General features: G+C 47.4%; 1 protein-coding gene and 2 pseudogenes across 2 annotated transcripts, besides 8 other annotated features; 1 reads left to right on the forward strand and 2 right to left on the reverse strand.

The window, feature by feature from the left end:
- Nucleotides 197-1,168: an enhancer, noted in NCBI's record as "H3K4me1 hESC enhancer chr5:153851993-153852964 (GRCh37/hg19 assembly coordinates)". NCBI's record gives its function as "activates a minimal SCP1, AML or CMV promoter by ChIP-STARR-seq in naive H9 embryonic stem cells {active_cell/tissue: H9 hESC(naive)}" and the evidence as "EXISTENCE:reporter gene assay evidence [ECO:0000049][PMID:30033119]".
- Nucleotides 1,169-2,140: an enhancer, noted in NCBI's record as "H3K4me1 hESC enhancer chr5:153852965-153853936 (GRCh37/hg19 assembly coordinates)". NCBI's record gives its function as "activates a minimal SCP1, AML or CMV promoter by ChIP-STARR-seq in primed H9 embryonic stem cells {active_cell/tissue: H9 hESC(primed)}" and the evidence as "EXISTENCE:reporter gene assay evidence [ECO:0000049][PMID:30033119]".
- On the reverse strand, nucleotides 2,736-5,991 carry HAND1 (heart and neural crest derivatives expressed 1). Of its 2 annotated transcripts, none has more exons than XM_005268531.2 (2): nucleotides 5,230-5,991; nucleotides 2,736-3,671 (listed from the first exon to the last, which is right to left on the reverse strand). In XM_005268531.2, the coding sequence occupies exons 1-2, from the start codon at nucleotides 5,770-5,772 to the stop codon at nucleotides 3,570-3,572; spliced, it is 645 nt and encodes a 214-aa protein (XP_005268588.1). In that variant the 5' UTR covers nucleotides 5,773-5,991; the 3' UTR covers nucleotides 2,736-3,569. The 2 variants fall into 2 exon arrangements, with proteins under 2 accessions (XP_005268588.1, NP_004812.1); NM_004821.3 differs by having other exon boundaries at nucleotides 2,736-3,674.
- Nucleotides 3,469-3,656: a silencer, noted in NCBI's record as "fragment chr5:153855265-153855452 (GRCh37/hg19 assembly coordinates)". NCBI's record gives its function as "represses an EF-1alpha promoter that drives an FKBP-Casp9 reporter gene in an ReSE screen in K562 erythroleukemia cells {active_cell/tissue: K562}" and the evidence as "EXISTENCE:reporter gene assay evidence [ECO:0000049][PMID:32094911]".
- Nucleotides 3,811-4,665: an enhancer, noted in NCBI's record as "H3K27ac-H3K4me1 hESC enhancer chr5:153855607-153856461 (GRCh37/hg19 assembly coordinates)". NCBI's record gives its function as "activates a minimal SCP1, AML or CMV promoter by ChIP-STARR-seq in naive and primed H9 embryonic stem cells {active_cell/tissue: H9 hESC(naive and primed)}" and the evidence as "EXISTENCE:reporter gene assay evidence [ECO:0000049][PMID:30033119]".
- Nucleotides 7,439-7,948: an enhancer, noted in NCBI's record as "H3K27ac-H3K4me1 hESC enhancer chr5:153859235-153859744 (GRCh37/hg19 assembly coordinates)". NCBI's record gives its function as "activates a minimal SCP1, AML or CMV promoter by ChIP-STARR-seq in naive H9 embryonic stem cells {active_cell/tissue: H9 hESC(naive)}" and the evidence as "EXISTENCE:reporter gene assay evidence [ECO:0000049][PMID:30033119]".
- Nucleotides 7,439-7,964: a biological region, named in NCBI's record as "H3K27ac-H3K4me1 hESC enhancer GRCh37_chr5:153859235-153859744".
- Nucleotides 7,915-7,964: a silencer, noted in NCBI's record as "silent region_16543". NCBI's record gives its function as "represses an Ori minimal core promoter by ATAC-STARR-seq in GM12878 lymphoblastoid cells {active_cell/tissue: GM12878}" and the evidence as "EXISTENCE:reporter gene assay evidence [ECO:0000049][PMID:35858748]".
- Nucleotides 11,923-12,422: an enhancer, noted in NCBI's record as "H3K4me1 hESC enhancer chr5:153863719-153864218 (GRCh37/hg19 assembly coordinates)". NCBI's record gives its function as "activates a minimal SCP1, AML or CMV promoter by ChIP-STARR-seq in primed H9 embryonic stem cells {active_cell/tissue: H9 hESC(primed)}" and the evidence as "EXISTENCE:reporter gene assay evidence [ECO:0000049][PMID:30033119]".
- On the forward strand, nucleotides 21,065-22,515 carry LOC100128833 (VPS37A, ESCRT-I subunit pseudogene; annotated as a pseudogene).
- Nucleotides 22,510-24,466, reverse strand: LOC100271907 (myotubularin related protein 7 pseudogene; annotated as a pseudogene).

Below are 25,792 nucleotides of genomic sequence, written 5' to 3' on the forward strand. Positions count from 1 at the left end.
TTGATGTATATTCTTCCAATTTTTCTCCACGAATAATATTTTTTTATTTTTACATGAAAAGGGTCACAATGGACAGTGTTTGGTGTAATATGGGAGGAGGTTTTCTCACTTAATATATCGTGAACAATTTCCATGTCAATTCCCACATTTTTTCTAATGGCTGAATAGTAACCCACTTGTACTGATGGCTTTATTGAGCCAGTTCTGTAATTATAGGACATCAGGTTCTTTCTCGTGTTTCACTCTTTAATAGAATAGTCCTATAGTTAACGTTTTGTAACATCAATATTTCCTTGCAGTAAACTCCTGGAATTTACTTTTAAGTTGGTAACCATTCCATTTTTCCCATTTTTTAAAAAAGATGTATTTAATTCAAAAATAATAAATAATGACCCTGCTTCTGCCACAGCTGATTTGAGGTGTCTGACAAACCTCGTTGAAACCTGGGCAGAGAAGAAGAAACTAAACGTTAGACTCTAAAGATGTTTTCAAAGAAGGGAGGGCTAAGGAGGGGTGGGAGCCTGGAGAGCCAGGGTGGCAGCGAGAAGGGCTGGACCCCTAGTCTGCAGACCCTCAGCACAGAATGGTTTGTGAAACCTGGGGCAGCTCCGAGCCGTTCTCTGTGCTCGGCTTTTCCAGCTGTGCGGTGGGAGCTGGGGATGTGGCGTGGGCGTGGGAGGCCGCTGGAGTCAGGCGTGGGGAGAGTGGGGGACTATCCAGTGACCCTCTCAATGGGCGCCGGCTCCGTCTCGGCTCCCGGGTTCAGGGACTGCACGTTTCTGAGACCGAGTTTAGGGCTCCAAGGCTCTCTTCCCAAAGAGGGTTTGGGGCCAGCAGGATTGGGTTTTCTGAAGAGGCCTGGTTATGCCAGACTTGGCTTTGGCGGCCGCTGGCGGGTCTCCCTCAGCACCCCCTCTTCTTTCCCCGGCTATAAGAAAGCTAGACCAGGGTGCGCATTCTTCCCGTGCCTAGGATACTTCACGGTGCTAAAAATAGTCCTGGGAGCTGGGACCTGTGTATAGCCAGAGGTTTGTGTGTGAGCGAAGTTGGAGTCCTGGGTTCGAATCTAGATAAGCTTCCCTCCGTGCTGTGGGGCTTAGATCACCTCCCTCCCTGAGTCTGTTTCTCCATGCGCGCCGGAATTTCTAAACGGACTCCCAGAAAGAAACGGAAAGAAAGAAGGTAAAGAAAAGAAAAACAAAACAACAAGAAAGAAACTTTGATTTTTCTCTCTGCTCCTCCCCAAGGGCCCTGGGGCCTCGGGCCGGGTACTGAGGCCGAGGAAGGGGTGCGTCGGACAGGCTCATTACCGCCAAGTGTTGCCCTAGTTAAATCGCGGGCCTGTTTGATCTGGCGGCGGGTGGCGAGAGGGAAAAAAGAAAAAAGTAGGGGGGCGAGAGTAGAGAGAGAAGCTCACACCTCCCCCACTGTTTCCTAGCGCCCATAAAACACCTTTTATTAACTCCTTCGCGTCCGGAAAGGCCCGCGTGGCCTCTCGGCCCCTGCTACGGTGTTTACAGCCAAGACTAATGGGGTCCCATATTCACCCCGACGCTGGGACAAGGCGCCTGGGGCACGCCTGGTGCCCCACGAGGCCCTGCCCCGGAGCTGCCTGAGGTCTCCTTTCTTGTTCCCAAGCCGAGCGCTCAGGCTCCAGGTGCGCAGAGCGAAAGTTCCAAGACAGCCTCACGGGTCTCCCCTCCTCCTTCGCAGTGAGCGCCGCAGACCCTCAGGCGCTGCAGAGCGTGCGCTCCGTGGGGCAACCATGGGAGCTGTTGGGAGACACAGAAGTGCTTAGCGCAGTGCCTAGCACACAGTTGCACGCAACCAAAGTATTCGTACATTATTATTCCTGGAAGTATAAACCACTGCGTTTGCCCGCCCCAGTTTAGCCCAATACGCATCCAAGATCCTTGGCAAATGCACCGAATTTATACCCACCACACCTAGTCATGGGTGCGCATGAGAGAACACAAAGACTGGCTCTCCTGCACAAGTGCCCGAATGAGCACGCATACACACATACACCCCATCCCTTTGCACAAATCCATATGCTCTCACAACCTTCTGTCGAGTGCTTCGTTGCTAAAGAGAAACCTAAATACCTCAATTTAACATATAAGCACTCACAAGCTTATTTTACTCAGGTATAAAATAATAATAGCTGCTGTGACTTGTCAAGTCCTTACTGTGTGCTTGGAGCTGTACTAAGCAGACCCTTGTTGGCCCCTGCACAGCCTCAGGCTCCGTATGAGTTGCTGCACTGTCACATGTACATCTATATGTTGAGAATTTCACATACATGAACATATTCCCCACCAACACCCCCTCTCCTGAGCTACCCTGCCCCAGGGATAGGATTCACCTGTGTGCTAGGCCCCCTTCCCTCCCAATAAACACTCCAAACCACTCTTTGCAGACACCAGTGGGCATACTAACCTCCAGACAAGCACGAATACTCAACGCACAAAAACCCGAGCCCAGGCCCTCTGAGACTAATTCGTTTCCGTTTTTGTTCTTCCCCGTTCCCATAAGTTACCCCCACCTCCCGTTCTAGTCTAAAGAGAACTTTGCTCTTGTTCTTGAAATACATTCTTTATCTGCCGGCTTCCCTTGATTTCAAGTTTGGTTTCGTGTTTATCAAAAGAAGAGGAGCAGGAACAGAGGCTTTCCACCTAGCAGAAGCCATGGGAGTCGGTGAGGGACCCCGGTTGAGACATGACACAGGCTTCAGATGATTTCAGAAAATGTTTTATTAATCAAGAGCATAGACACTGCTTTGGCGAAGGGAGGGGGGCTGTGAGTGGTCACACAGACTTGAGGTAGAAAAGGGTTGGGGATGGCAGGATGAACAAACACCTGAGCACAACAGGCATGGTAGGTAGTTTAAATACATAAAAACTTTCCAACACAGGGAAAGCTTTTATTTAGATAGAAACAAAAAGGAAGGAAAAGAAGGAAGAAAAGAGAGAGACAGAGAAAGAGAGAAAGTGTTTCCCTTGGAACTAAACAGGAAGTGCAGCGACAAAAAGAAAAATAAAATAAAACCACCACGATTCGAAGAACAAAGGGCAGCCTTTCATCTTCCTGCGTCTGGTTCTCTTTCTCAGGCAGAAAAGAATTGATTCCTTATTGCATTTTAATTAGAGAAGACGGCGTCGGGGCGGATCATATGGAGGGACAAGAGAGAAAGAGCCAGATAGGGAAATGGAGATAGGGCTGAGGTTCTAAATTCGCTCCAAAAGGGTGGAAGAGTGCGTCTTTGAGCCCTTGGGTTCGACAGTCCCTCCTTCTTGCATGTTGCCGCCAAGGGCCGCCCTCGGTTGGGCTGGGGGTGGATATATATATATTTCTCTTTCTCTTAATGTATTAAAAAAAATCAAAGGACATTGCACGTGCGATCCAAGTGTGTGGTTGCAGCCGACGACCTGCCGGCGCTCAGCAGAAGCTCCGCGGGATGCGTAGCACCAGTCGCCGGAGCCCAGAGCCTGGCGTTCGCCGCTGCCTTCCTCTCCTCCCGGGGCTTCAGGAGTGGCTGGCCTGGCCAGGTCCTCGGCGCGGGCCTCGGCTCACTGGTTTAACTCCAGCGCCCAGACTTGCTGCGGCCAGCCGGTGCGTCCTTTAATCCTCTTCTCGACTGGGCCCAGGGCAGGAGGAAAACCTTCGTGCTGCTGCTGCCAAAGGACACACAGAAGAAAAGAGGCGGGAGAGACAGGTTTTAATTTTTCTGCTCCGATCGCCCGGCATGGGGTAAGATGAGGAGGAGGGGAAGGTGTCGGGAGCAGTAACTGGGAGTCTTTAAATAAGTGACGGATTTCTGTTTGCGAAATAGGCAAACAGGCTCGTAAATTTGCCTTTATGCGCGGAGTTCCTGGGACCCGGGATGGGCTGGGCAGCTTCGGGAGGTTTGGTAAGGAAAATGTTCTGCGTCTGGTGAAACTGACGCGCGTTGATTTGGCTTTAGGACACCTAAGGGAGATCCCAGGATATTGGAAGGGAGGGGTGGAAATCCACGGTTCTCCCGCTCTCGCTGCACCCCACACACTTCCGCCAGCCTCCCAACCTGGTTTAAACATCAGGGCTTGGATGCAGGCTTGGGGCCCCCTAAGCCGGAGCTGGGAGCCTCAGATACGGAGGTAAAAGAGCGGGGAGTCGAGCTGGCCTAGCGTCCTCCTTCCCGCTCTTTCAGCAGGAACCAAGCGGTGCTACTTGAAGGAGGCGGCGACGCGTGGGGGCCGGGATCCGCCCAATAACAACTTCTTTCGAGGCGCCGCACCTCGAAAGAAGCCGGCCTGCACCATCCCCAGTCCGGGGCAGCCGTTTAGAGACTCGATGCCTATTTATCTTTCCCTCGTCCCTGGATGAGCTTTCGTCAGTTTACCACAGGCCCCCGCAGGTTGGATAAACCAGGTGGGGCGCTTCAGCTGGCTCCACTCCGCTACGGCCTTAAGCCCCCCAACCTAGAGAAACTGATTGGCCAGCCTGAAAACCCAGCGCTCAGAAGCCCCCAGCCCCGGACAGCCAGACCGAGTGCCAGGAAGTGTCACCCTAACCGGAGAGGATCAAGAAGGCCAAGACGAGACTGCGCTCTCCAAAGCTAAAAGAAGTGGCTCTTATTTACATGCAAAGCCACTGAAGTCGTCCTCAGAACCAGTCCATGGGGAGAACCAGAACTGGCCCTGGACTGAGTAGAAGACCCGATCTGTTTTACCTCACCTCCACCCTGGACTCCTCAGATAGGTGCTTTTCCTGCCCCGACCCACTCTGGGCCCTCAGTTTCCCTATTTATACAATGATGGAAGTAGACTAGCCGGTCCAGCAAAGGCCCTTTGAAAACAGGAACCGAGCCCGGGCACATAAATTCAAACTCAAAGTAAAGAACTTTAACACATATTCTTAACCTGGCTTCCAGGAGAGCCCAGGAATGAATCAGGACTTCTCCAAATTGGAAGCAAAACCTGTGGTGTGTGCATTTTTGGAGGGTCCGAGGCTCCAAACAGATTATTCACTCAGTATTACAAACACTCTCCCGTATTACAAATGAATTCTATGACGAATCTGCCTCCCTCCATGCACAGGATCGCACGCTGTGACCAACCATCTCAGAACTCTTCCCAACCTTTCCAAATCGGACACAGGACAACACAGCCTCCTTCGACTACCTGCATGGCCTGAGGCTGCTCACCGCTCCTGCACCCTTGGCTGGAGCATGCAAGCCCCAGGACTCACCAGCTCCCTTTTCCGCTTGCTCTCACGGCCGCCATCCGCCTTCTTGAGTTCAGCCTTGAAGGCCTCGGGATCGCCAGACTGTGCATCCTTGGCCAGCACGTCCATCAGGTAGGCGATGTAGCTGGTGGCTAGGCGCAGAGTCTTGATCTTGGAGAGCTTGGTGTCGGCCGGCACGTTGGGGATGCACTCGCGCAACTCCGCGAATGCGCTGTTAATGCTCTCAGTGCGTCTCCGCTCCTTCTTGGGTCCTGAGCCTTTCCGCCGGCCAAGACGGCCGCCAAGCGCCTCCAGCCGCCCGGGGCTCTGCCCAGGCCTGGCGTCAGGACCATAGGCGGTGGCGGCTGCAGCGGCCGCGGGCGGCGGCCCGCCCGCAGGGAAGTCCGGGGCAGCGTCAGCCGGGCTCAGCAGCCAGCTCTGGAAGTAGGGCCTTTCCTGATGACAGCGCGAGGCCGGACCGAAGAGGAAGGGTTCGTGGAGCATGGGGTGCGCAGGGTGCGGGTGGTGATGGTGGTGATGGTGTGCGTAGCTGCCCACGAGGTTCATGTTGGAGCGGCTACTGGCCTGCGCCGCCAGCCCTATTAACGCCGCTCCATGCGCCCCAGAGACTGCCGGGGGCCACCTGTGGGCTCTGGAGCCACTACTGGGCGCCGGCTTTGGGAGAGTCCGGGCAAGGCTGAAAATGAGACGCGCAGCCCACTGTCTTCTTACCGGTTTCTGCCGCGGGCGAGGTCGCCGAAGCCCAAAGACCTGTTTAACCCTTCTGCGGACTCCCCTGCGGATCTGGCTTATATAAGACCGCGGCTTTGATGTCAACCTCTCCCGGGAGCCAATGGCAGGGGGGCGGGGATAAGGAAAAGGGGGAGTGGCTATCCCAGGTTTTACGCTCAGCCCGCGCCACTCTAGTCCGCCAGCAGGGACTGGGAACCGGCCCCGCCTCTGCCCCTCCCACTCAGCTCCCTGCTCTGCGGGCTTAGGGGGGCGGGCTGCTGGGGGTGTTGAGGGGGCGGGCACGGGGACTACGTACTTGAGGCACAGGACGGCCAACGCCCTGGACTGTTGCTGCCACCCCCTCCCCACGGATCCAAGGAAAGGAATCCAGAATCACCAAGCGAAAAGAAGGCCTACACCTAGAGCCCGCCTTTTGATTTTACAGACAAGGAAACTGAGGCCCAGGGAAAGAAAGGTTCTTGTTTCTAGACTGTCTAGAAGTCTAAATAGGAATTCCAGCAGTTCCCAGTCCCGAGCTCCAACTGCTCTGCTCGGCGTCAGAGCTAGAAGATGAGAGGGCGCTGCTGAAGACAGGATAGGCCGCTAACGTTCTTCCCTAACACCTTCCAGCCCTCCGCCCCCACCCCCACCCCTTAGTCATCGGCCCTTTCTGGAGAGACTGGGAGCCGCTTGTGCACGGGGTCGTTACCAGCCCGCCAATTCTGACCCAGCCTCAGGCAGACGGGCACGCAGCTACTGACCAGCGAAGAAGCCTTTCGGAGGCAGGGGTAGGGGTGGGGCGGGAAGGAGGAGGCGGACTCCAGGCCCACGGGCATCGACGGGTTTGTTCCCGGCTTGAGGGTCTGAGATCCACTCCGGCCTCCCGGGTGCCTGATCCATTCCGAAGGCCAGCCCGGCTGGCGCAGAGACAGTCTGGCGTCCGCCTTGGGCCCGGGGCATCTGGCCAGCAGGTCTCCTCTGGTCTGTCCGCAGGACTCGCACCGAGACCTGGGAGCGCGGCTACGTCGGGCCGCTCTACCCAGATCATCACTCCTTAAGAATCTTTGGTTCTTTAAAGACACCGGCCCCGAAGCTCACACCTCGAGACACCAGCATTCGGCGTTAGACACACGCAGAGGGGACCAAGACTGCACAGCATCCGCGAGGCTCGCACAGGCAAACGCGACGTCCGGCATCTCTCACGCATCAGCGCAGAGGCGCGACTCGGCTGCACGACCCTCCGAGATTTCACCCCGGGGGTAGGGCCATTCCCTGCCAGCCGGACTCTCTCCACTGTGGGCTTTCCCCAGGCTCGCGTTGGAATCTGGGAATCCCGGAGTGGTGACGCTTCAAGCTGGGGACTCTCGGTCTTACCTCCCGCTGTGGTTCCTTTCTTGGCCGATGTCCACCTACCTGGGTCCCTCATTCTCTCAACCTTTCTCAGCTCAACGCCCCCTCCCTCGGTGTGGTAGAGGGAGTGTGCCTCTCTTCAAAGCAAAGTCGAGGGGAGGGGGAAAGGAGAAGTTAATGTGAGTGCTCTTTTTAGAAGGCAAATCATTCACCCATTCATTCAACAATTATTTATTGATGCCTACTATGTGCCTATCATAGTTACTAGTCCAAAGACAGAGGGAGAAAGGCCCATTCTCTCCTTGAACAGATATGGAACGTGAAGCCCAGAGAAGAAGAGCGATTTTCTCGAGGTCCGGTAGGGAGTGGATGAGTGGAATTCCACTCCTGGACAAGAGAGTGAATGAAGGGTGGGGGGTTACATACAGGAGTGACGGAGACAAAAGCCTGGGCCTGCTGGTTCCACCTGTGGGAGCTCAGCAGGGCTGTGGGCCCTGGAGGTGCATGGGGGGGTGGTGCAGGGAGGTCCTGGTTTCCTGCCCGAGGCGGGCTGGAAACCCCCCGCTCTCCCCGGCGCCTGGCGCCAGCAGCGCTGGGGTAGGGCAGAGCGCGGAGCCGGAGGCACGCGGGGAGGGAGCGCTGGGGGCCCGCTGCTGCGGCGGCTCTGCGGGGTCCCAAGCCTCCCTGGCCTGGAGGCATTCTAGAAAGAGCGCAGGTAGAGAGTAATTACGCTGTGGAGAGAAGGACCTCAACACACAATCCTCAACACACGCCCAGTCTTTGTCCTAATCCAAGTACAATCTGCAACAGTGCCTCTCAGAGCGGCACACTAGGCCCTCAGATTATACATTCACAGGTACATGCACAAGGGCTCACAAAACCTTGCCGCCGTACACAAAAGCCCGTATCTTCATAAGACGCCCAAAAGTATGTGTATTCTCACAGTAATACGCACAGCCACGGTACACACAGCATTCATGCATTCCTAGGATTTTACACATTGTCTCTCTGTCACCCACAGGGTACATACTCATCACGCTTCAGATGTGTTACACCTGGGAGCCGCTCCCAATCCTCCATTCAGGCATGCACAGAGACCAAAGTCATATGGTAGAAACACATAAATTCTGAATACTACACAAATGCAGGGTTTCACACATAATCTCATTGCCACAATTTAAACCAGCTTGTATCTTCCTAAGATTCTCCACAATTGTATTCGCAACACAAACTTCCAAAATCCCATCATACATTTTGTATATTCTCAGTGTCACCGCTAAGCCTTCAGTGCACAAGTACACAGTCACAATATCTACTACATATGCACAGGTGCTCACAAATAGAGGTTCTCACATGCTCACACATAACACACATACAAATGTGTGGCCCACGCGCCTGCCCATATGAGTCCTAGTTGCTTTTATGATGTTACACAGATCACTCAAGGTTGTATACATCCCCCATATATCTGGCCTGGTTAGTGTGGTGGGGAATGCATTATCAGTACTGGGTGAGGAGTCCCAGTCCTATGACACCCCTTGAGGGCCCCTGAGACTACCTGGCAGCCCCCCATGGGTCTTAAAGAGCAGGGTGTCTCCAGCTGCCAGTGATGTGGAAAGCACTGTTCCCCAACCTAGAGAAGGTATTCAGTGTCATTTTTCAAGCGGTGCCCCCACCAGAAACTCAGCCCTAAGGGATCTCCTGAGGCTTGGGGCTGGGGCAACCCCCAGCAGGATGACGTCGGGGGAGACTGCAGTACAACTAGGCTCTAGACTGCCTTCTCAGAGACCCCAAAATGCTTTACTGTAGTCCGTGGAGAGCAGCAGAACTCCCGGGATGGTGGGGACCTTGTAAGGTTGTTCTCTATCTCTGCCCAAGCTATATTGTAGGAGGAGGTCTGAGACCTAGGATTTTGGCTAAAATTGCTTTAGGCTGGCAGGCAAGAGATGTGACAGGCAAGAGTCCTGGCTTTCCCTATCTAGCACCTCTTTGTTCCTTTCCAGTCCGAGCCTCAGTTTCCCCAGTTGCAGAAGAAGGGAATAGGATTGATAGTCTGGAATTCTGGAATTCCCAGCTCCTCACTATTGCAGGGACCCTGCCCTGGTTCCTCCTGGGACTTAGTGCTCAGCTCAGGGATCCCTACAGAAGGACTCCGCTTTCCTCTTGCCTACCTCAACAGACCAAGGACTAGAACTCCCAGGGTCCTAGCCCACACTGCCCCTGCAGCCTCCTCTTAACGAACCTTGCTCACCTAAAGAGTGCCTTCAGGGGGGTTGGCCTTCTTAGTATTTTCAAATGCAGGCTTCTCGTTTCTTCCCCCAGTTGTAGTGGTGAGACCCGGCAGGAACTCTTCTTTACCCTGTTTTACAAAGTAGAGGGCTTATGCACATAAAACACATTCCACCTTGCTATGGAATCGGGCCCATCTGAGTTAAAACTGTGCACATCATTCCTCCCTGTGTGAAGCTTCTACACCTCAGTTTTCTCTTCTGTAAATTGGAGGACAATAATAACCTCTGTGGAGGGCTGGCGTAAGAGTAAGCACAAGGCGAGGCTCTTAGCACAGTGACAGTAAACCTGGATAAATGGTGGCTCTGTTTTTAGGAATATTAATTTCATAGGGGCGGAAATGGAATTACATGCCGCCACATGACTACAAAGCTCTGGATGGGGAGAAGGACCAGGACACTGAATCCTCCTTGCAGGGCTCTGTTCTGACCTGACCTAGCTGCTTCTGACTGCCTTAGGTTCCTTCCCATTCCCTACTGACCCTACACAACCCAGCCATCATAAGACTGGAGATACAGAGACATCGCCAGGTGTAGGAATTATGTTGCCAGAGACCCGAATTCCAGTTCCAGATTCCACCCTCCACCCCCATGTCCCTCCCTAAATGACTTGGTGGGGGGTGCAGTCTTGTCACCTACGGGACTCAGTTCCCCCAACCATAACAGTAGGACAGCTGTACCCGGGCAATGCGAAGGTCCCTCAAGCCTGGACGTTCTGCAGTGGTGGGGTCTCGCTCTTGCCCTAGCCCCTCTCCTACCCTCACCCCTATCCGCGCCCCCCGGACTGGCAGGCCTCTGGAAGCCCAGGCCGCGGCGCCTACCGCAAAACCTTCTCCCGCCGCAGTCCCGTGACCTTGACGCCACGGGCAATCCCCGCACCGGACCCCTTATCTAAATAGGGCAGTAAATCAAGGACCTGTCAGGGCCCGGGTAATTACAGGAACTCCATAAAAAGGACCCGGCCGGCCGCCTGTTTATATTAGCGCGGTGTAAAATATTCTCGCTGTCTTGGGGAATCGCGTCGCGCAGTAACGCGCCATAAATCAGCCCGCGGACCATTTACCCCGCAGCTTGAGCGCGCAAATCCCTTAAACATTTCTCTGCCATGTCTGAAGAGGACCTAGGACTTTCCAATCTGGCCCAGCCTGCTCCCAGGGATGGGGGACAGTCGGGGCAGGGAAGAGATAGGCACGGAGTAGATTGCTCCTGGGAGCTCCAAGGTTCTGTTTGCAGACGGGAAACTAGCCCAGAGAGGGGAAGGAACTTTCCTAAGGGCACACGGCCGATGAGTGGCAGACGCGCGGCTAAAGCCCAGATCTCCAGAGGGGACCTGGGGTGAACAGCAGCCTCTGTCTCCCCTTATTACCTTCTTTCCTGAGACGAGGGTGGTCAGGCCAGAAAGGGTCCAAGCAGGAAGTGACGTTCTTTACATTTTGGCCAGGAGGTTCTTGCCATTGTGCACAGAATTATGTGTCAATGCTTTTCTGCGCAACGGTAGCCCCTGATTACGGGCAAAACACAGGCCCAGAGGATGGGGAGAGACTTGCCCAAGGGCACACAGATAGAAATCGACGACCCTCCCCTGCTAAAATAATTCATTTTGGTTTATCTCCTCCACGCTCTTTCTTAAAGAAAAACTAGGAGAGAGTGCCTATGCATATATGTGTGTGGCTGTGTGTGTGTACGAGGGGGGGGGGTCATTTGTGCTCATTCTCAGGCCTGTAACAGGCCTCAAAAATACAAAATCTATTTAAGGTAAACCTGCTGCTGCCTATTGTCCAATGAGTAACATAAATCAAGCTTATGGAAAAAGAATATTACATTTTCTAACCTCCCTCTGGGCTAGGACCTGAGGATTCGAGGGAGAATTAAACATGTATGTGTTTCCCCCAACTTTTTCTGTCTTCCTCCCCTCATTCTCTTTCTCTTCCGAAGCCCGTAAATGACAATGTGTTTACATAAGTTTTTATGTCGTCTGAGCTTCGTCCCGGCTCCGTTTCCTCCTCTGTGTATTTTCCGCACAGAGAGATGTCTGCTTCGGGACGCGTTCAACCTAAACAGAACCCGGTCTGATTGGAAAATGTATTTATTTGAAAAATCGTAACTCACGGTTTTGGTGAAAACGGCCCCCAAATTTATGGGATCGCTTGGGGCGCAGCGATTGTAAATCAAAAGGCACTGGACACCTCCCTCCCCCATCCCCGAAGCAGCTCGGTCAGGTTCTCCAGAACACCAGGAGTCCTGTCTCCTCCCGGTCCACCCTGCGGCCCTCCGAGACCCTCCCTTCTCCCATCCCTCGCAGTGGTTAGTTGCACACTAGCAGGCAGGTGGATTTTACTCCGGTTTCTTTTACCCAGTCCCGTTGCTTTCAGGGCAATTTCATTCTGGTCAGCTTCACAGCACTCAGCTCCAGGCCGCCTGTTAACGAAGTTTTGCTGTGCACCAGGCTGTTTTCGGCATATTGGGAGATTTTTTTTGTTCCTCACATGCTGGTTAGTTTCCTGGTGCTCGGTTGCTCCCCGGGTCGGGTCGGGCCACTTGTAGCCAATCCCTAGACCACTGATCATTGCCTGCCGAGCTGTTTCATGCCAAGAGGCTTATCTCGGCTCATTGTCACGAAGGTCATTCTCACTGCCTGACTGTTGCATCCCTGGTCAGGAGAATTTTTTCCTTTCCCAGTCTAATCTGAATTCCACAGCAAGGACTGAATCAACCCACTTTACCTATCTCCTGGGTCCTCCTGCCAGCGAAAGCCAGCTGATTACTGGGGAAAAGCTAGAGCCGGGATGGTGTATCCAAGGACAGATGCTGCTGGCTACATAGGTGGGGAGTCTTCGCCAGGGACACGACCAGCAGAGCTGGACGCAGGGACATTTCATGAGCAAACATTGAGTCTACTTTCTCCTGGAATACAGGACTGAGCCATATCTCTGTCTTAAGGATCATGCGCTTCTCTGGCAGAGTCCCCATGGGGCACAATGCAAGCTGTCCACTCCAGGCTTGTCCATCTAAGCCTTGCTATCTCAGGGACAGGGTCTGGAGATTCATTCAAAACTTCTGTGCTCTTTTCTCCAAAAGAGCATGCAGGAGCCAAGAGGTTCCGAAGTCTGCCGGAGCATAAGTGTTATAGCTAGCAATGGGTCGTGGGGATGATCGGCAGCTGGCTACACTTAAGTTGAAAACACTGGGCTCCTCAACCCTTTCCTTCTGCTCACAGGCTTTCAGAAAGAGTCCGTATGCACGAAACAACTGTATCATTATTAGCCTTATTATTTTAAACGGGGCCAGGCCACATCCATCATCTTTCCCATAATGGTCAATTGTAAACACACTTTAAAAGAGAAAAACAAAAAAGGGATTTAATGTTGACACTGGGAAAATGCTTAGCTCTGGCATTGCTGGGGAATTGGCAGGCTCTCTGGTCCTTTGGGAGAGAAGTTAAGTGCTCTGAGAGTTTTTTTGTTTTGTTTTTTTTGCTTTTTCCATTGAATTTCTAAATCCCTCAGGAGTCTCCTTTGTCTCTTCAGTTTAATGAGGGAAGTCCTTTGTTAAAAAGTCAAGGATGGATAGAAGAGCCTTGGCATCAGAAAGGAGACGGGAGTGGAGTAAGAACACTGCAAACACGGTAAACTGTGCTGATCCTCTTCATTACCATGGTCAATCTTACCAGCACCCTTCTGGATTTCAGCCTCTTTCTGCCTTACTATTTCCACGCTGCAGCTGAGTTTTGCCCTGGAAGGGAGAGGTGTAAAGAGAAGTGAACGACAGAAAAAACAGAAATTAGGGAAAAAAAAAAAGTGGCGATTCATGAATGGTGACTGAAGAAACGGGAGCACACTTTGGTTTTCACTTCATTATCAACTATTAGAGCAAGTTCCCTTCCAGAAAGCCTGGGTTTGAGCACCTCTTCCCAGTGTGAACATTGCTCCCTAGCCACATGGACACCCCCAACATCTCACCCACACACACCAGAGGATACAAGATTGTCCACATTAGCTTCCTAAAACTCACCCAGAGCACGGCTCAAAGAACAAGAAGTCACAGTGGAACCCAGCCTCAAACTCAAACCAACTGTTGGCAGTTATTAAATTCATTTTCATCCATACAAGCAAGGTCCCAAAAAAGTCTACTTAAAAAAAAAAAGTGGCAGGAGAAGAGAGAACAGAAGGGAAAGCCCCAGAAACCAGACCAGAAATTAATGTAATTACCTCTTCTCCCCTGCCATAAATTCCGCAGAGGAAATCAAATCTTTCTGTGCATGTGTATAAAAACCTATCAGTCTATGGAGCTCGCCAAAACCCATTATGTCTCAAACTGGGTGTTCTAATTGAGTGAATCTGAATGTACCAGTCGACCAAGCATCAATGGATCCAGGTTTTTCCAAGGGCGTTTGCCACAGAGCCAGAGAGGATAAACATTGGTTGGAACCACACACTAATCAGCTTGCTTGCCGAAGAGACCCTCTCTGAGCCTGGAGGAGATCTATGGAGCCTGGGTGCTGGCAGATGCATCCTAACATTTTGCGTCAGATTGTAATGGAATATTTCTCATAAACAGCCAAGTGTCTCTCCCAGCCATTCAACTGACATGTTTTTTGTTGTTTAACTTCAGATCTGACAGATGATGATAACCTGGAAAAAAGAGAGGTTACAAAATGCTGAGGGCTGTGGGGCTGGGCAGTGTAAAGGGCGCCTGCTCAAGAATTAGGACAGGGCTGTGATTTGTAGGGCCCGGAAAAGACTGTTATGCAACCCACAGCAAGCGGGGTGGCTGGGAGAGGGGCCTGGAAATCAAGCAGGAGGGGAGAAGTGCTCAGCCACAAGAGCTCTGGGCTGCTTGCTTCACGGAAATATGCCACTTGTATTGCATTTCATTTTGTGAGATGGAGAATGCTCCCTCCCCCTCACCACTCTCCCCAGGCTCTCAGTGCTCTCCTCTCTCATGAGCACTCTGATTTATAGCACCTGTTAAAAACACATAATGAATGCAATTAGCTGTGGCACTGGAGAGAAAAAAGGTAGGAGTTGGCTTTATTCTAATAAAAGATAAATGTGTTTGTTTTCATTAACTTCGTTCATTAATTTAAATTTCTGGGGCCAGTTTTAAATCGTTGCTGCTTTCTTTGCCATTAGCCTAATAGGTGCTAGTTCTCCAACTTTAGTGGGTGTCACAATCCCTTTGGGGAATATGTTTCAAATGCAGGGAACCCTTGTAGGTGAGGAGTGAGCATGAGATCTGCATTTTCAAGAAAACTCAATAGCAGATTCTGATGCAGGAACCATGCCTCTGAGAATGTGATTTATATAGATATAGTAGGTACTCAAGAGTGATCTATTCACCAAAGAAAATTATTTTCCTTGTTAGCTGTGGGATTCTATCCAAGTTAATATACATATATAGTTAAATATGATACATGTCTATTGTGGAAAAATCAGAAAATATAGAGAAACATAGGAAGGAAATAAACATTTCCTTGATCTTTACAAGCTATTTACATTCTTTGGGCTGTAGTTTTCTAGTTTTCTCTGCCAAAGCCTAGGGATTCTTAGAAGGAGCAGCTCTATCTTCACTGTCCTCTCTACCACCCAGCACCTATCTGGCATGTAGTAGGGCATACAAAAGTATTTGATGAAAGAAACAATTGTTAAGTGACACTGAGATTAGATGACCTCTAAAGTCGCCATCAACCCTAATACTCTATTTTGCATTCTCTGCTCTAAGAAAAAATATATAATTGCACAAACTCAGATATATTTGTCACTTGGACTCCTGACATTCAAACATGTATATGTTTTTTCTCTATGTCTTGTCACTTGATCTGACAGCTTTCTGCCTGCTCTATCTGATAATAGTTTAGGGTTGTCCTTGCCCGAGGCAGCTCAGCTGTCAGCATGGGCTGAAACTGAGTGGGGCAGTCCCCACCTTGTACCAAACAGAACAGTCTGAGTCAGTTTTTTCAGTCTCCAGCAAAATTGCACAGAACCAGAAACCGAATAGTTGGGTTTTTCAGTTCACAAATGTGTAATTCTTTCCTGAAACCTTGAAGCAGACCACTCCCCACCATCCCACCCTGCCTCACAGGGCACTAAAAAATGATCACTGGTTAAGGTCTTCCTATGTGTGACACACTTTACACACATTTCTCATTTAATCATCACAGTAGCACTTTTACCTCCGTTTTACAAATATAGAGTTAATGCTCAAGTTTCCTCAAGTAAGACATTGGAGAAACAGGATTCAAACCCAAGTCTCCCTGACTTTAAAGTCCTTGCTTTCAACCACTACAATTAAAGGGGTGTGTGTGTGTGTGTGTGTGTGTGTGTGTGTAAAGTGGGGGTAAGTAAAATGCTAAAAATATTTTAAATTCTCCAACAATATCACAACAATAATTAATTACAATACATAACTTTTTTTTTTTTTAAGAGATGGAGTCTTGCTCTGTCGCCCAGGTTGGAGCACAGTGGCGTGATCTCGGCTCACAGCAACCTCCGCCTCCTGGGTTCAAGCAATTCTCCTGTCTCAGCCTCCCAAGTAGCTGGGATTACAGGCGTGCACCACCATGCCCAGCTAATATTTGTATTTTTAGTAGAGACAGGGTTTTGCCATGTTGGCCAGGCTGGTCTCTAACTCCTGACCTCAGGTGATCCCCCTGCCTCAGCCTCCCAAAGTGCTGGGATTACAGGCATAAGCCACGGCACCTGGCCAATAACAATTATTTATTATATTATATTATTATTTATTGTATTTATTCACAATAATTTATCATAAATGTTATTATAAATAGCAATAATAATTAAGGAAGAATATGAACCCACCACCCAAACAATGTGCTCTGTTTCATTCCTTCACCACAAACACTGTATCCTAAGAATTATTTCTGCAGCTGGCACAGTGGCTCACGCCTGTGATCCCAGCACTTTGGGAGGCTGAGGTAAGAGGACAGGTTGAGCCCAGGAGGTCAAGGCTGCAGTGAGCTATGATCACACGTGACAGAGTAAGGCTCTGTCTCAAAAAAAAAAAAAAAACAAAAAAACACCTCTCTGTTACATGAGCTCATGTTTATCAGTTTTAATAGTAGCATCAGGTGCTCATCAGGTTACATCTAATTTGACTTGTCACAATAAGGTTATAAATCCCATAAAGAGAGGAGCCGAATCTGTTCTATTCACTGATGTATACCCAGCACCTAGCACAGTACTTGCACAAAGAAATCATTCAATAAATGTTTGTTGAATGTATGAATGAATGGTAACTTGCTTGATACAAACAATTCTGGGGAGATGCTACTGGCAACATGGTCACCCAGGTGTCAATCATACAATACAACCCTGCCACTCAGTGGGTGCTTAGGAAGATGTGGAAGGAATAATCTTTTAGGAGGAGATGGGACATAATAGATGTTTAATACACATACTCACCGTTTGATCATTGTAAATACATTTTTGGTAATGGTTTCATTGAGATACAATTTACATCAAATCCATACATTTCCAATAAACTTTTTATTTTGCAATAATTCTATACAGAAGAGTTGTAAAGATAACACAGAGAGTTTCTGTATAAACTTCACCCTTCAGTTTCTCCTAAGGTCACCTTCTTACACAAACAAGGTATGTTTATCGTAACTAAGACACTAACATTAATACATTATTATTAAACTAAATTTTAGACCTTATTCAGATGTCACCAGATTTTTCTTTTATGTCCCTTTTCTGTGCAAGGAAGCAATCCAGTAGACCATTTCACATTGAGCACAATTATGTTTGCCAAGCTGATTCTACCATGATTTACCTTTGACCAGCTGAATTTTTTTTTTCAGTTATCAGCTTCAGGAATTTAAAAAAAAAAAAAAAGTCTCACCCAAATTAGCAAAATGGAACCAAAACAGATTCTCCACTTTAGTTAAGTTCCTTGCTGCCTCCTTCATAAGGAAGGCCATGCTTTCTTTTCTCAGCTTTGTGCACCCTCATTATATGACCCATGTTACGCCCCAGGGACCCAATGTTTTACGGGTTTGTGCAAACCTAAGTCATCTGTAGGGTCCTAAGTCACGTGCCTACTGCCAGTGCTAACACTGTGCAGAGTTAGACCTCAGCCAAGTTTTTTGGGATGATTTGAGGTTTGCATCCAGTCTTGGATTCCAGAAATCATACTTTGCACCTATTTCCATGTGTATTTTTAGAGTGAACTTGTTGGGAGAAAATGAATATGATCTAATGATAAGTAAAAGAGCAGGACACAAAATTCAACACGCTGGGCTGTTACAGCTCTGTCAAAATACACGTAGGAAAGAAAGAAGATACCCAAAGCAATTGTTGTCATATTAGGGTGGCAGGATTATGGATAATATTTTTGTCTTTCCTACATTTTCCAAACTTATTGCCATATTGTATTTTGCTTTTTATGATGATAATTTCTATAATTAAAAAATAAATGTATACTCAAACTAAATATACAACTTAAAATATAACTCCTTTGAAAGGAGACAGTCAGTGAGGAAAAGTGCCTAGGACAAGGAAATAAGTGCTGGCAACAACAGCATTTATTTGGTAATAAATATTCAATAAATGTTTGTTGAATGAATGCGTTAAGTAATTTACAGGGATCATCTCATTCAATTCTCAAAAGTACTTCAGGAGAAAGTGCAGTTATTACCCCCATTTTGCAGGTAAAGTAACTGAGGCACAGAGAATTTAAATAACTTGTTCAAGCTTCCCCAGCTGGTAGGCGACAGAGCTGCAACTTGAACCCACTGAGTCTCCAAACACAGTTACAGAAGGATGGAAAAAGAGGGAGAGAGAAAAGAAGGAAAGACACGAGAAAAAATGGTTTCATCGGTGAGAACAGTTAGACCAGTGAAATGAATATCTGAGATGCTTCACCTAGGGGACTAGTCAAAGATGCAGAATCTTGGCCCCATCTCACACCTAATGAATCAGAATCTGCATTTTTAAAAACATCCCAAGGGACTCATATGCACATTCAAGTTTGAGAAGCCAAGACAGTTAATATGAAATCTGTTTGGGAAAAATAATTTACACATACACATGCACACACACACACACATATATAATATATATATATTTACTTGTATTTGTCTTGGCTGGTACTACCTTGCTAAGAAATTGGGGCATAGCTGTATAAATCAGTGTTCTTCAAAGTGCAAGTGATGGCTGTTTTGTGGATTGTGAAAACATCTTAATGAATTGCAATCAGAAACTAAAAAAATAAATAAAAATTATCAGAGTGCATCTTATGAAGAAAGGGTGTGTTATTGCATGAAACTTTTATTTCAAGTGTGTGTGGGGGTGGTGAGTGTACTGGCTCTTGAAGTAAAATGTCTACCTCCTGTCCCCTTCGTCAGAAAAGTTGTGACTGGCCTTCACACCATGGCCAAAGGCAGCCATGGGTAGTTTATTTTTTGTTTGTTTTTTGTTTTTGTTTTTGTTTTTGTTTTTTGAGGCAAAGTCTCTCTCTGTTGCCCAGGCTGAAGTGCAATGGCCCAATCTCGGCTCACTGCAACCCCCACCTCCCAGGTTCAAGCGATTCTCCTGCTTCAGCCTTCTGAGTAGCTGGGATTACAGGCGCCTGCCACCACACTTGGCTATTTTTGTTTTTTCAGTAGAGACGGGTTGTCACCGTGTTAGCCAGGCTGGTCTCGAACTCCTGACCTCAGATGATGATCTGACCACCTCGGCCTCCCAAAGTGCTGGGATTATAGGCATGAGCCATGAGATTCTTTTTTTTTTTTTTTTTTTTGAGACGGAGTCTCGCTCTGTCGCCCAGGCTGGAGTGCAGTGGCACGATCTTGGCTCACTGCAAGCTCTGCCTCCTGGGTTCACACCATTCTCCTGCCTCAGCCTCCCGAGTAGCTGGGACTACAGGTACCCGCCACCACGCCCAGCTAATTATTTGTATTTTCAGTAGAGACAGGGTTTCACTGTGTTAGCCAGGATGGTCTCGATCTCATGACCTCGTGATCTGCCCACCTCGGCCTCCCAAAGTGCTGGGATTACAGGCGTTAGCCACCACGCCCGGCCAAGCCATGAGATTCTGAGCTGACATTTAGAAGTGTGGTGGATCTCCTTCCTATATCTGATAGATTTAGAAACTCTGAATGAAATCAGAATTGGGTGGGGAAGGAGGGTGAATGTCTCAGAAATTATCCATCCCAGCCACTTCCCTGTCCAGGTGCAGAAACACAGTCCCAGAGAGGAGAGGGATTTGCCCAAGGGCACACAGCAAAACTGGGACTTTGGAGAGAGGAGTGTAACAATGTCAAGTCTTTCATTCCTTTTTTGTCTCAACCATGAAAGTCTTGGGGGCTGGGGGGACCTGGCCTGGAGGCCAGGCAGCCAGGGGGACATGACTCTGGAATGTGTTGGGGAAACAAGATGCCTTCTCCTCCAGACCTGACAAGCCAACAGGACTAGGTGTGGCAAGAAAGGGCTCTGGTTATCTGCCTCCCCCCTCTGTTTCGTTTGGTCTGTCAACTCCAGCAACAAAGTGCCCCAAACGTGTGAGGCTTGATAAAGATGGGAAGGTAAGAGGGTGAAGGTAGTGGGACAACAGGGACCAGAGCTTGAGAGGTGTCCCAGGACCTCTGTCTCTGCTTTCTCCAAGAGTCTGGGAAGCCAGCAGGATACCCCTCTCTCCTTCACAGCCTCCCCCTACTCTGTGATTGTGGCCAAAACCCTTAACTTCTCTGGGTGGTTGTGTCTTCTTCATTTCAAGATGGGACAGGATAAACCCTTAATACTTAGATCCTAAATCAGAGGATTTTGACTTTGAAAAAGAAGTCTACCATCTTATTCTTCCCTTTGTATTATTTTTTTAATTCAAAAAGTAATATGGGCTGGGCCTGGTGGCTCATGTCTGTAATCCTAGCACTTTGTGAGGCCGAGGCAGGAGAATGGCTTGGGCCCAGGAGTTAGAGACCAGCCTGGGCAACATAGGGAGGCCTCATCTTTACAAATAATAATAATAATTAAAAAAAAAAAAAAGCTGGATGTGGTGGTGTGCCCTTGTAGTCCCAGGTACTTGGGAGGCTGAGGTGAAAGGATTGCTTGAGCCCAGGAGCTTGAGTCTGCAGTGAGCTGGGACCGCACCACTGCACTCCAGCCTGGGTAACAGAGTGAGATTCTATCTCAAAAAAATTAAAAAAAAAAAAAAAAAAAAAGTAATGCGAGAACCTGAGAAAGAAGAAACCATCCATAATCTTTCTAACCCCAAATAACTGTTACCATTAGGATGTGTATGTTGCCAAAATGGGGTCAGAGTCTATTCTGTTTTCCTTTTCTCACTTAGCAATGGGTGGCCGGCTTTTTTTTTTCAGGGGTGGGGGTGTCAATGAATATTATTTACTTCATATTACGTGGCTATTTGATAATTATTGATTATTGTTAGGTTTTCTAAAGGTGTGATAATGACATTGTACCTATGCTTTTTTAAAAGAGTCCTTTTAGAGACGGCGTCACAGGTGGTGGAGCGCTGGGCGATCAGGCTGCCTAACTGGCCGGCTTGGGCGTCTGGGCGGTGAAGGTGGGACTGCCTGTTCTGGGCAGCAAGTTCCCCTCTCCAGCTGCCCGCCATTCATAACATGTCCGCCAGAACCCGGGAAGCACAGGCAGGGCTGGCTTAGAGAAGACGCGGTCCCCAGCGCTTGGGCCACGGACGTCCCAGCCCGGTCCTCTGTCGCAGGAGAACCGCTGGGCCGAGCCGCTGGGAGAAGCAGGCCAGAGCCTTCCAGAGCCTCCGCCCGAGGACCTGACAAAGAGCGCCTCCTCCTCCGCAGCCGGGTTCCCGGTGGCCTTACCAGCCTCCAGCAGCAGAAGCAACGCCTGATCGAGTCCCTCCGGAACTCACACTCCAGTATAGCTAAAATACAGAAAGATGTGGAATACAGATTGCCATTCACCATAAACAACCTGACAATTAACATATATTGCTTCCTCCACAATTTCCTCAGGAAAAACCAGTGATCAGTGTTTTTCCACCAATACGACATCACTTAATGGATAAACAAGGAGTGTATGTTACTTCTCCATTAGCAAACAATTTTACAATGCACCCAGATCTTGGAAAAATTATTCAGAGTCTGTTGGATGAGTTTTGGAAGAATCCTCCAGTTTTAGCTCCTACTGCAACAGCATTTCCTTACCTATACAGTAACCCAAGTGGGATGCCGCTTTATGCTTCTCAATGTTTTCCATTTCTTCCTCCATATCCCCCAGAAGAAACAAAGAGGAGTTATCACTTCTTTATCTGTTGCTAATACTGTTTCTTCTTCAACAACAAGTCATACCACAGCCAAGCCCGTCGCTCCTTCATTTGGTGTCCTTTCAAATCTGCCATTACCCATTTCCACAACAGATGCTTCAATATTGACAAGCCAAAATGGTTTTGGTTACAAGATGCCAGATGTCTCTGATGCATTTCCAGAACTCTCAGAACTAAGCGTGTCACGACTCACAGATATGAATGAACAAGAGGAGGTATTACTAGAACAGTTTCTGACTTTGTCTCAACTAAAACAAATTATTACTGACAAAGATGACTTAGTAAAAAGTATTGAGGAACTAGCAAGAAAAAAATATCCTTTTGGAGCCCAGCTTGGGAGCCAAAAGGCAAACCGTTTTAGATAAGTATGAATTACTTAAACAAATGAAGTCTGCTTTCAAAAAGAAGATGCAAAGGCAGTGTGAACTTAGTGAGAGCTGTAGTGCAAGTGCCCTACAGGCAACATTGAAAGTAGCTGCACATGAAGCTGGGGAAGAACCTGATAATATTGTGGAAGACTTTGTGGAGGGAAAAATGGAAATAAATGATTTTCTCAGTAGCTTCATGGAAAAGAGAACAATTTGCCACTGTAGAAGAGCCAAGGAAGAGAAACTTCAGCAGGCAATAGCAATGCATAGCCAATTTCATGCTCCACTATAGACATACACTGCCAAATGGAAGAAATTAAAGCCGCTTCCTCAATATTAGGCAACAAAGTTTCTAAGAGTGGGCAGCTACAAGAATGGCGTGTAGTGAGTTATGTTATAAAAATGTGAAAGCCATTACCACTATATCCTAAGTATTTATCATTTTAGCAAGGTATTCCCTGTTACATACAGTATATGGCAGAAAATGAATATACATTCCTTGTACTTAATTTGGGAACTGCTCAGCAGGTAATGCTCAAATTTTATATTCTAAAAGAATTACACTTGCTTTATTTTTTACATTAACAGAGTACTTTTATATCACAGTTCTTTAGTATATTCTTTTTTTTGAGACGGAGCCCAGGCTGGAGTGCAGTGGCACTATCTCAGCTTATCACAGCCTCCGCCTCCCAGGTTCAAGCTATTCTCCTGCCTCAACCTCCCGCATAGCTGGGATTACAGGCATGTGCCAACACGCCTGGCTAATTTTGTATTTTTAGTAAAGAGGGGGTGTCTCCATGTTGGTCAGGCTGGTCTCGAACTCCTGACCTCAGGCGATCCACCCGCCTTGGCCTCCCAAAGAGCTGGGATTACAGGCGTGAGCCACCGTGCCCAGTCACATATTCTATTTTTAAATATGATGAACACAATTACATTTTTTCATTTATATATATATTGCCACACTCCCTCCAAATCTTTCATACTAGAGAGATCAGCAATGTTGCTTTCTTGCCCTTTCTCTTTACTTTGTTCTAATTTCAGCAAAATGTAATACAGTCTCCCATAAAAAATTTACATATTCAAAATATTGATGTAAATTGTAGAGTTTAAATTAATCCTTTTACATTCTAGAATGTACTAGTATATTAAAACCATACAACATGAATATCATTTATCTCTGTCCAAACATGGCAACTTTTCTCCACTAAGTCTCATTTAGGTCACCCAGTGAAGTCTTTGTTTTACTCATAAGTCAGGGGAGTGAATCTCCCTCAAATGTGCATTTTAACAAAACAAAACCCTTTTCAGAACTTTCAGCAGTCAGTGGTCATGAGATGTTACTAATGTTAATTAAACCATATTAGTCAGTTATATAATTTCTAAAAGGATAGATTACAAAATCTAGTCCCTTCATTAAACAGACATGAGAACCAAATACTCTGGTTCTTCACTGGGTTTTCCCTACAGATGTTTTACCCTACTAACTTTATAATGTTATACTTTGATATCAAGCTGGTGGTTGGCCTACACTGTCGGTATTGCAGTCTCTAGAATAGTAATAAAAGGTTGTTATTACAAGAAAGCTAATACTTGAATTCATATATATAATCAGAAGAATGAATGTTGCTTCTACCCTGTTAGGTATTAAGTCAGTGTTAGAGAAAACGTGAGATATAAGTTTTAGCATTTTTAAATAATGAGGAGAAACAGACTAGATCTCAGAGAAATGCAACAAAATTATTCTAACAATTCAAAATATATTATCTAAGGAAAAGTTAAAGTGATGGTTATTCCTAAAAGATAAGCGTAAGCAATTAAAAGCTCTTTAGGAATGTATCTATTAACCAAAAAGGGTGCATCTCAACAATGTTCCTGTTTTTAAAAATATGGATAAGAGGGTCAGAAAGTAAGATAATGTCAGAAGCTTTAGAAAACACAAAATATGGATCTAGAAGTGAACTAAAAGGTTCATGATGATTACAGATGTGAGGAAAAGGAGTGGAGGCTTTTTGAGAGATGCATCCTATGACAAGGAAGATACATACTGATAACTTCAGGTAATGACAGAAGTAATTGCTCTGCAGTGAATATAATTTTCATAGTCTAGGGTGAGCTTCAAAATGGTGAACAATTTTCCTTATGTTTGATAAACAAAATGACAACGTCCTCTTCAATATCTAAGAAATTAAGAGCTGGACACTTTTTTCCCTTTTCATAGCCGCATTAAAATAGTTCTCAATGACAAAAAAAAAAAAGAGCCTCTTTAGAGATATATCCTGAGCTGTTTCTAAGTAAAATGATATCTGGGATTCCCTTCAAAATAATACAGGAGGAGGAATTGGGTGGGAGTAGAGATAAACAAGATTGACCATGAATTGGTAATGGTTGATGCTCTTTCATGTACGTTTTTAAATATAAGGTTTTTTCAATATTCTTCTCTAATAGTAGTTTTTAGCCTATTTTGGTCACATATCCCTTTGAAAATCTTAAGTCAGCTATAGATCCACTTCCGTACAAATCCACCTTTCACAATTTTAGGAGGTTCTGTCTCCTGAAACCCATTGCTGTATCACAGGTTAAGACCTCCTAACCTATAACATAATCTCCTTTTCTAAAGTTTGTATAGTATTTTTCAAGTAGATACATCATAATTCCCTTGACTAATCCCCTTATTGCTGGGAATTTTTATTAAATTATTATTAATAACATCATATTACATGTCTTTGCATATATATTCTTTAGGGCAAATTCCTAATAGTACCAAAAGATATGTTCATTTTAAACACTTTTTTATTTTTTTTTTCAAAGAGAGAGGGTCTTGTTATGTTGCCCAGGCCAGACTTGAACTCTTGGGCTCAAGCAATCCTCCTGCCTCAGCCCCCACAAGTAGCTAGCATTGTAGATACACAACACTGCACTGGCTTAAAGGCTTTTTTTTTTAAAAAAAAAAAAATCACATTGTCCCCAGAAAGTATTGTTAACATATATATATATATATATTTTTGATACTGGGTTTCACTCTGTCACCCAGGCTGGAGTGCGGTGGTGCGATCTCAGCTCACTGCAACCTCCACCTTCCAGGCTCAGGTGATCCTCCCACCTCAGCCTCCTGAATAGCTGGGGCTACAGGCATGCACCACCATACCTAACTAATTTTTTTGTATTTTTAGTAGAGGTAAGGTTTCATCATGTTGCCCTAGCTGGTCTCAAACTCCCGAGCTCAAGTGATCCACCCACCTTGGCTTCCCAAAGTGCTAGAATTACAGGAGTGAACCACCACCCCCAGCCTAACATATTAATATTTTAAAATCAATTCCCATCCCTGGAGTCCTGTCATCAGGATTCAAGCCTGGACAAGCAGCTTGTCCCTGGGCACAATTCGTCTTGCTTTTCTGAGCGTCGATGTCCTCACCTATAAACATGAGGCGCTAAATGAGCGGATTCTTTGATTGTGTCATTTTTTCCGATCCAGAAAATCCTGGCAAACTCTGTGGCCCTCAGAGTTCTGCCTTGGTTATCGGAGGAGTCTCCACAGGCTCCTAGCCATTCTTCCTGCCCCAGATCTCCATC

The sequence above is a fragment of the Homo sapiens genome, chromosome 5 (genome assembly GCF_000001405.40).
Source record: "Homo sapiens chromosome 5, GRCh38.p14 Primary Assembly".
NCBI lineage: Eukaryota > Metazoa > Chordata > Mammalia > Primates > Hominidae > Homo > Homo sapiens.

Excerpts from the sequence above, each read along its gene's own strand:
- HAND1 (NM_004821.3), bottom strand. The coding sequence starts at position 5,772 with ATGAACCTCGTGGGCAGCTACGCACACCATCACCACCATCACCACCCG. Across the intron at positions 3,675-5,229 it reads GCAAGCGGAAAAGGGAGCTG|CAGCAGCACGAAGGTTTTCC; the intron begins GTGAGTCCTGGG and ends GTCCTTTGGCAG.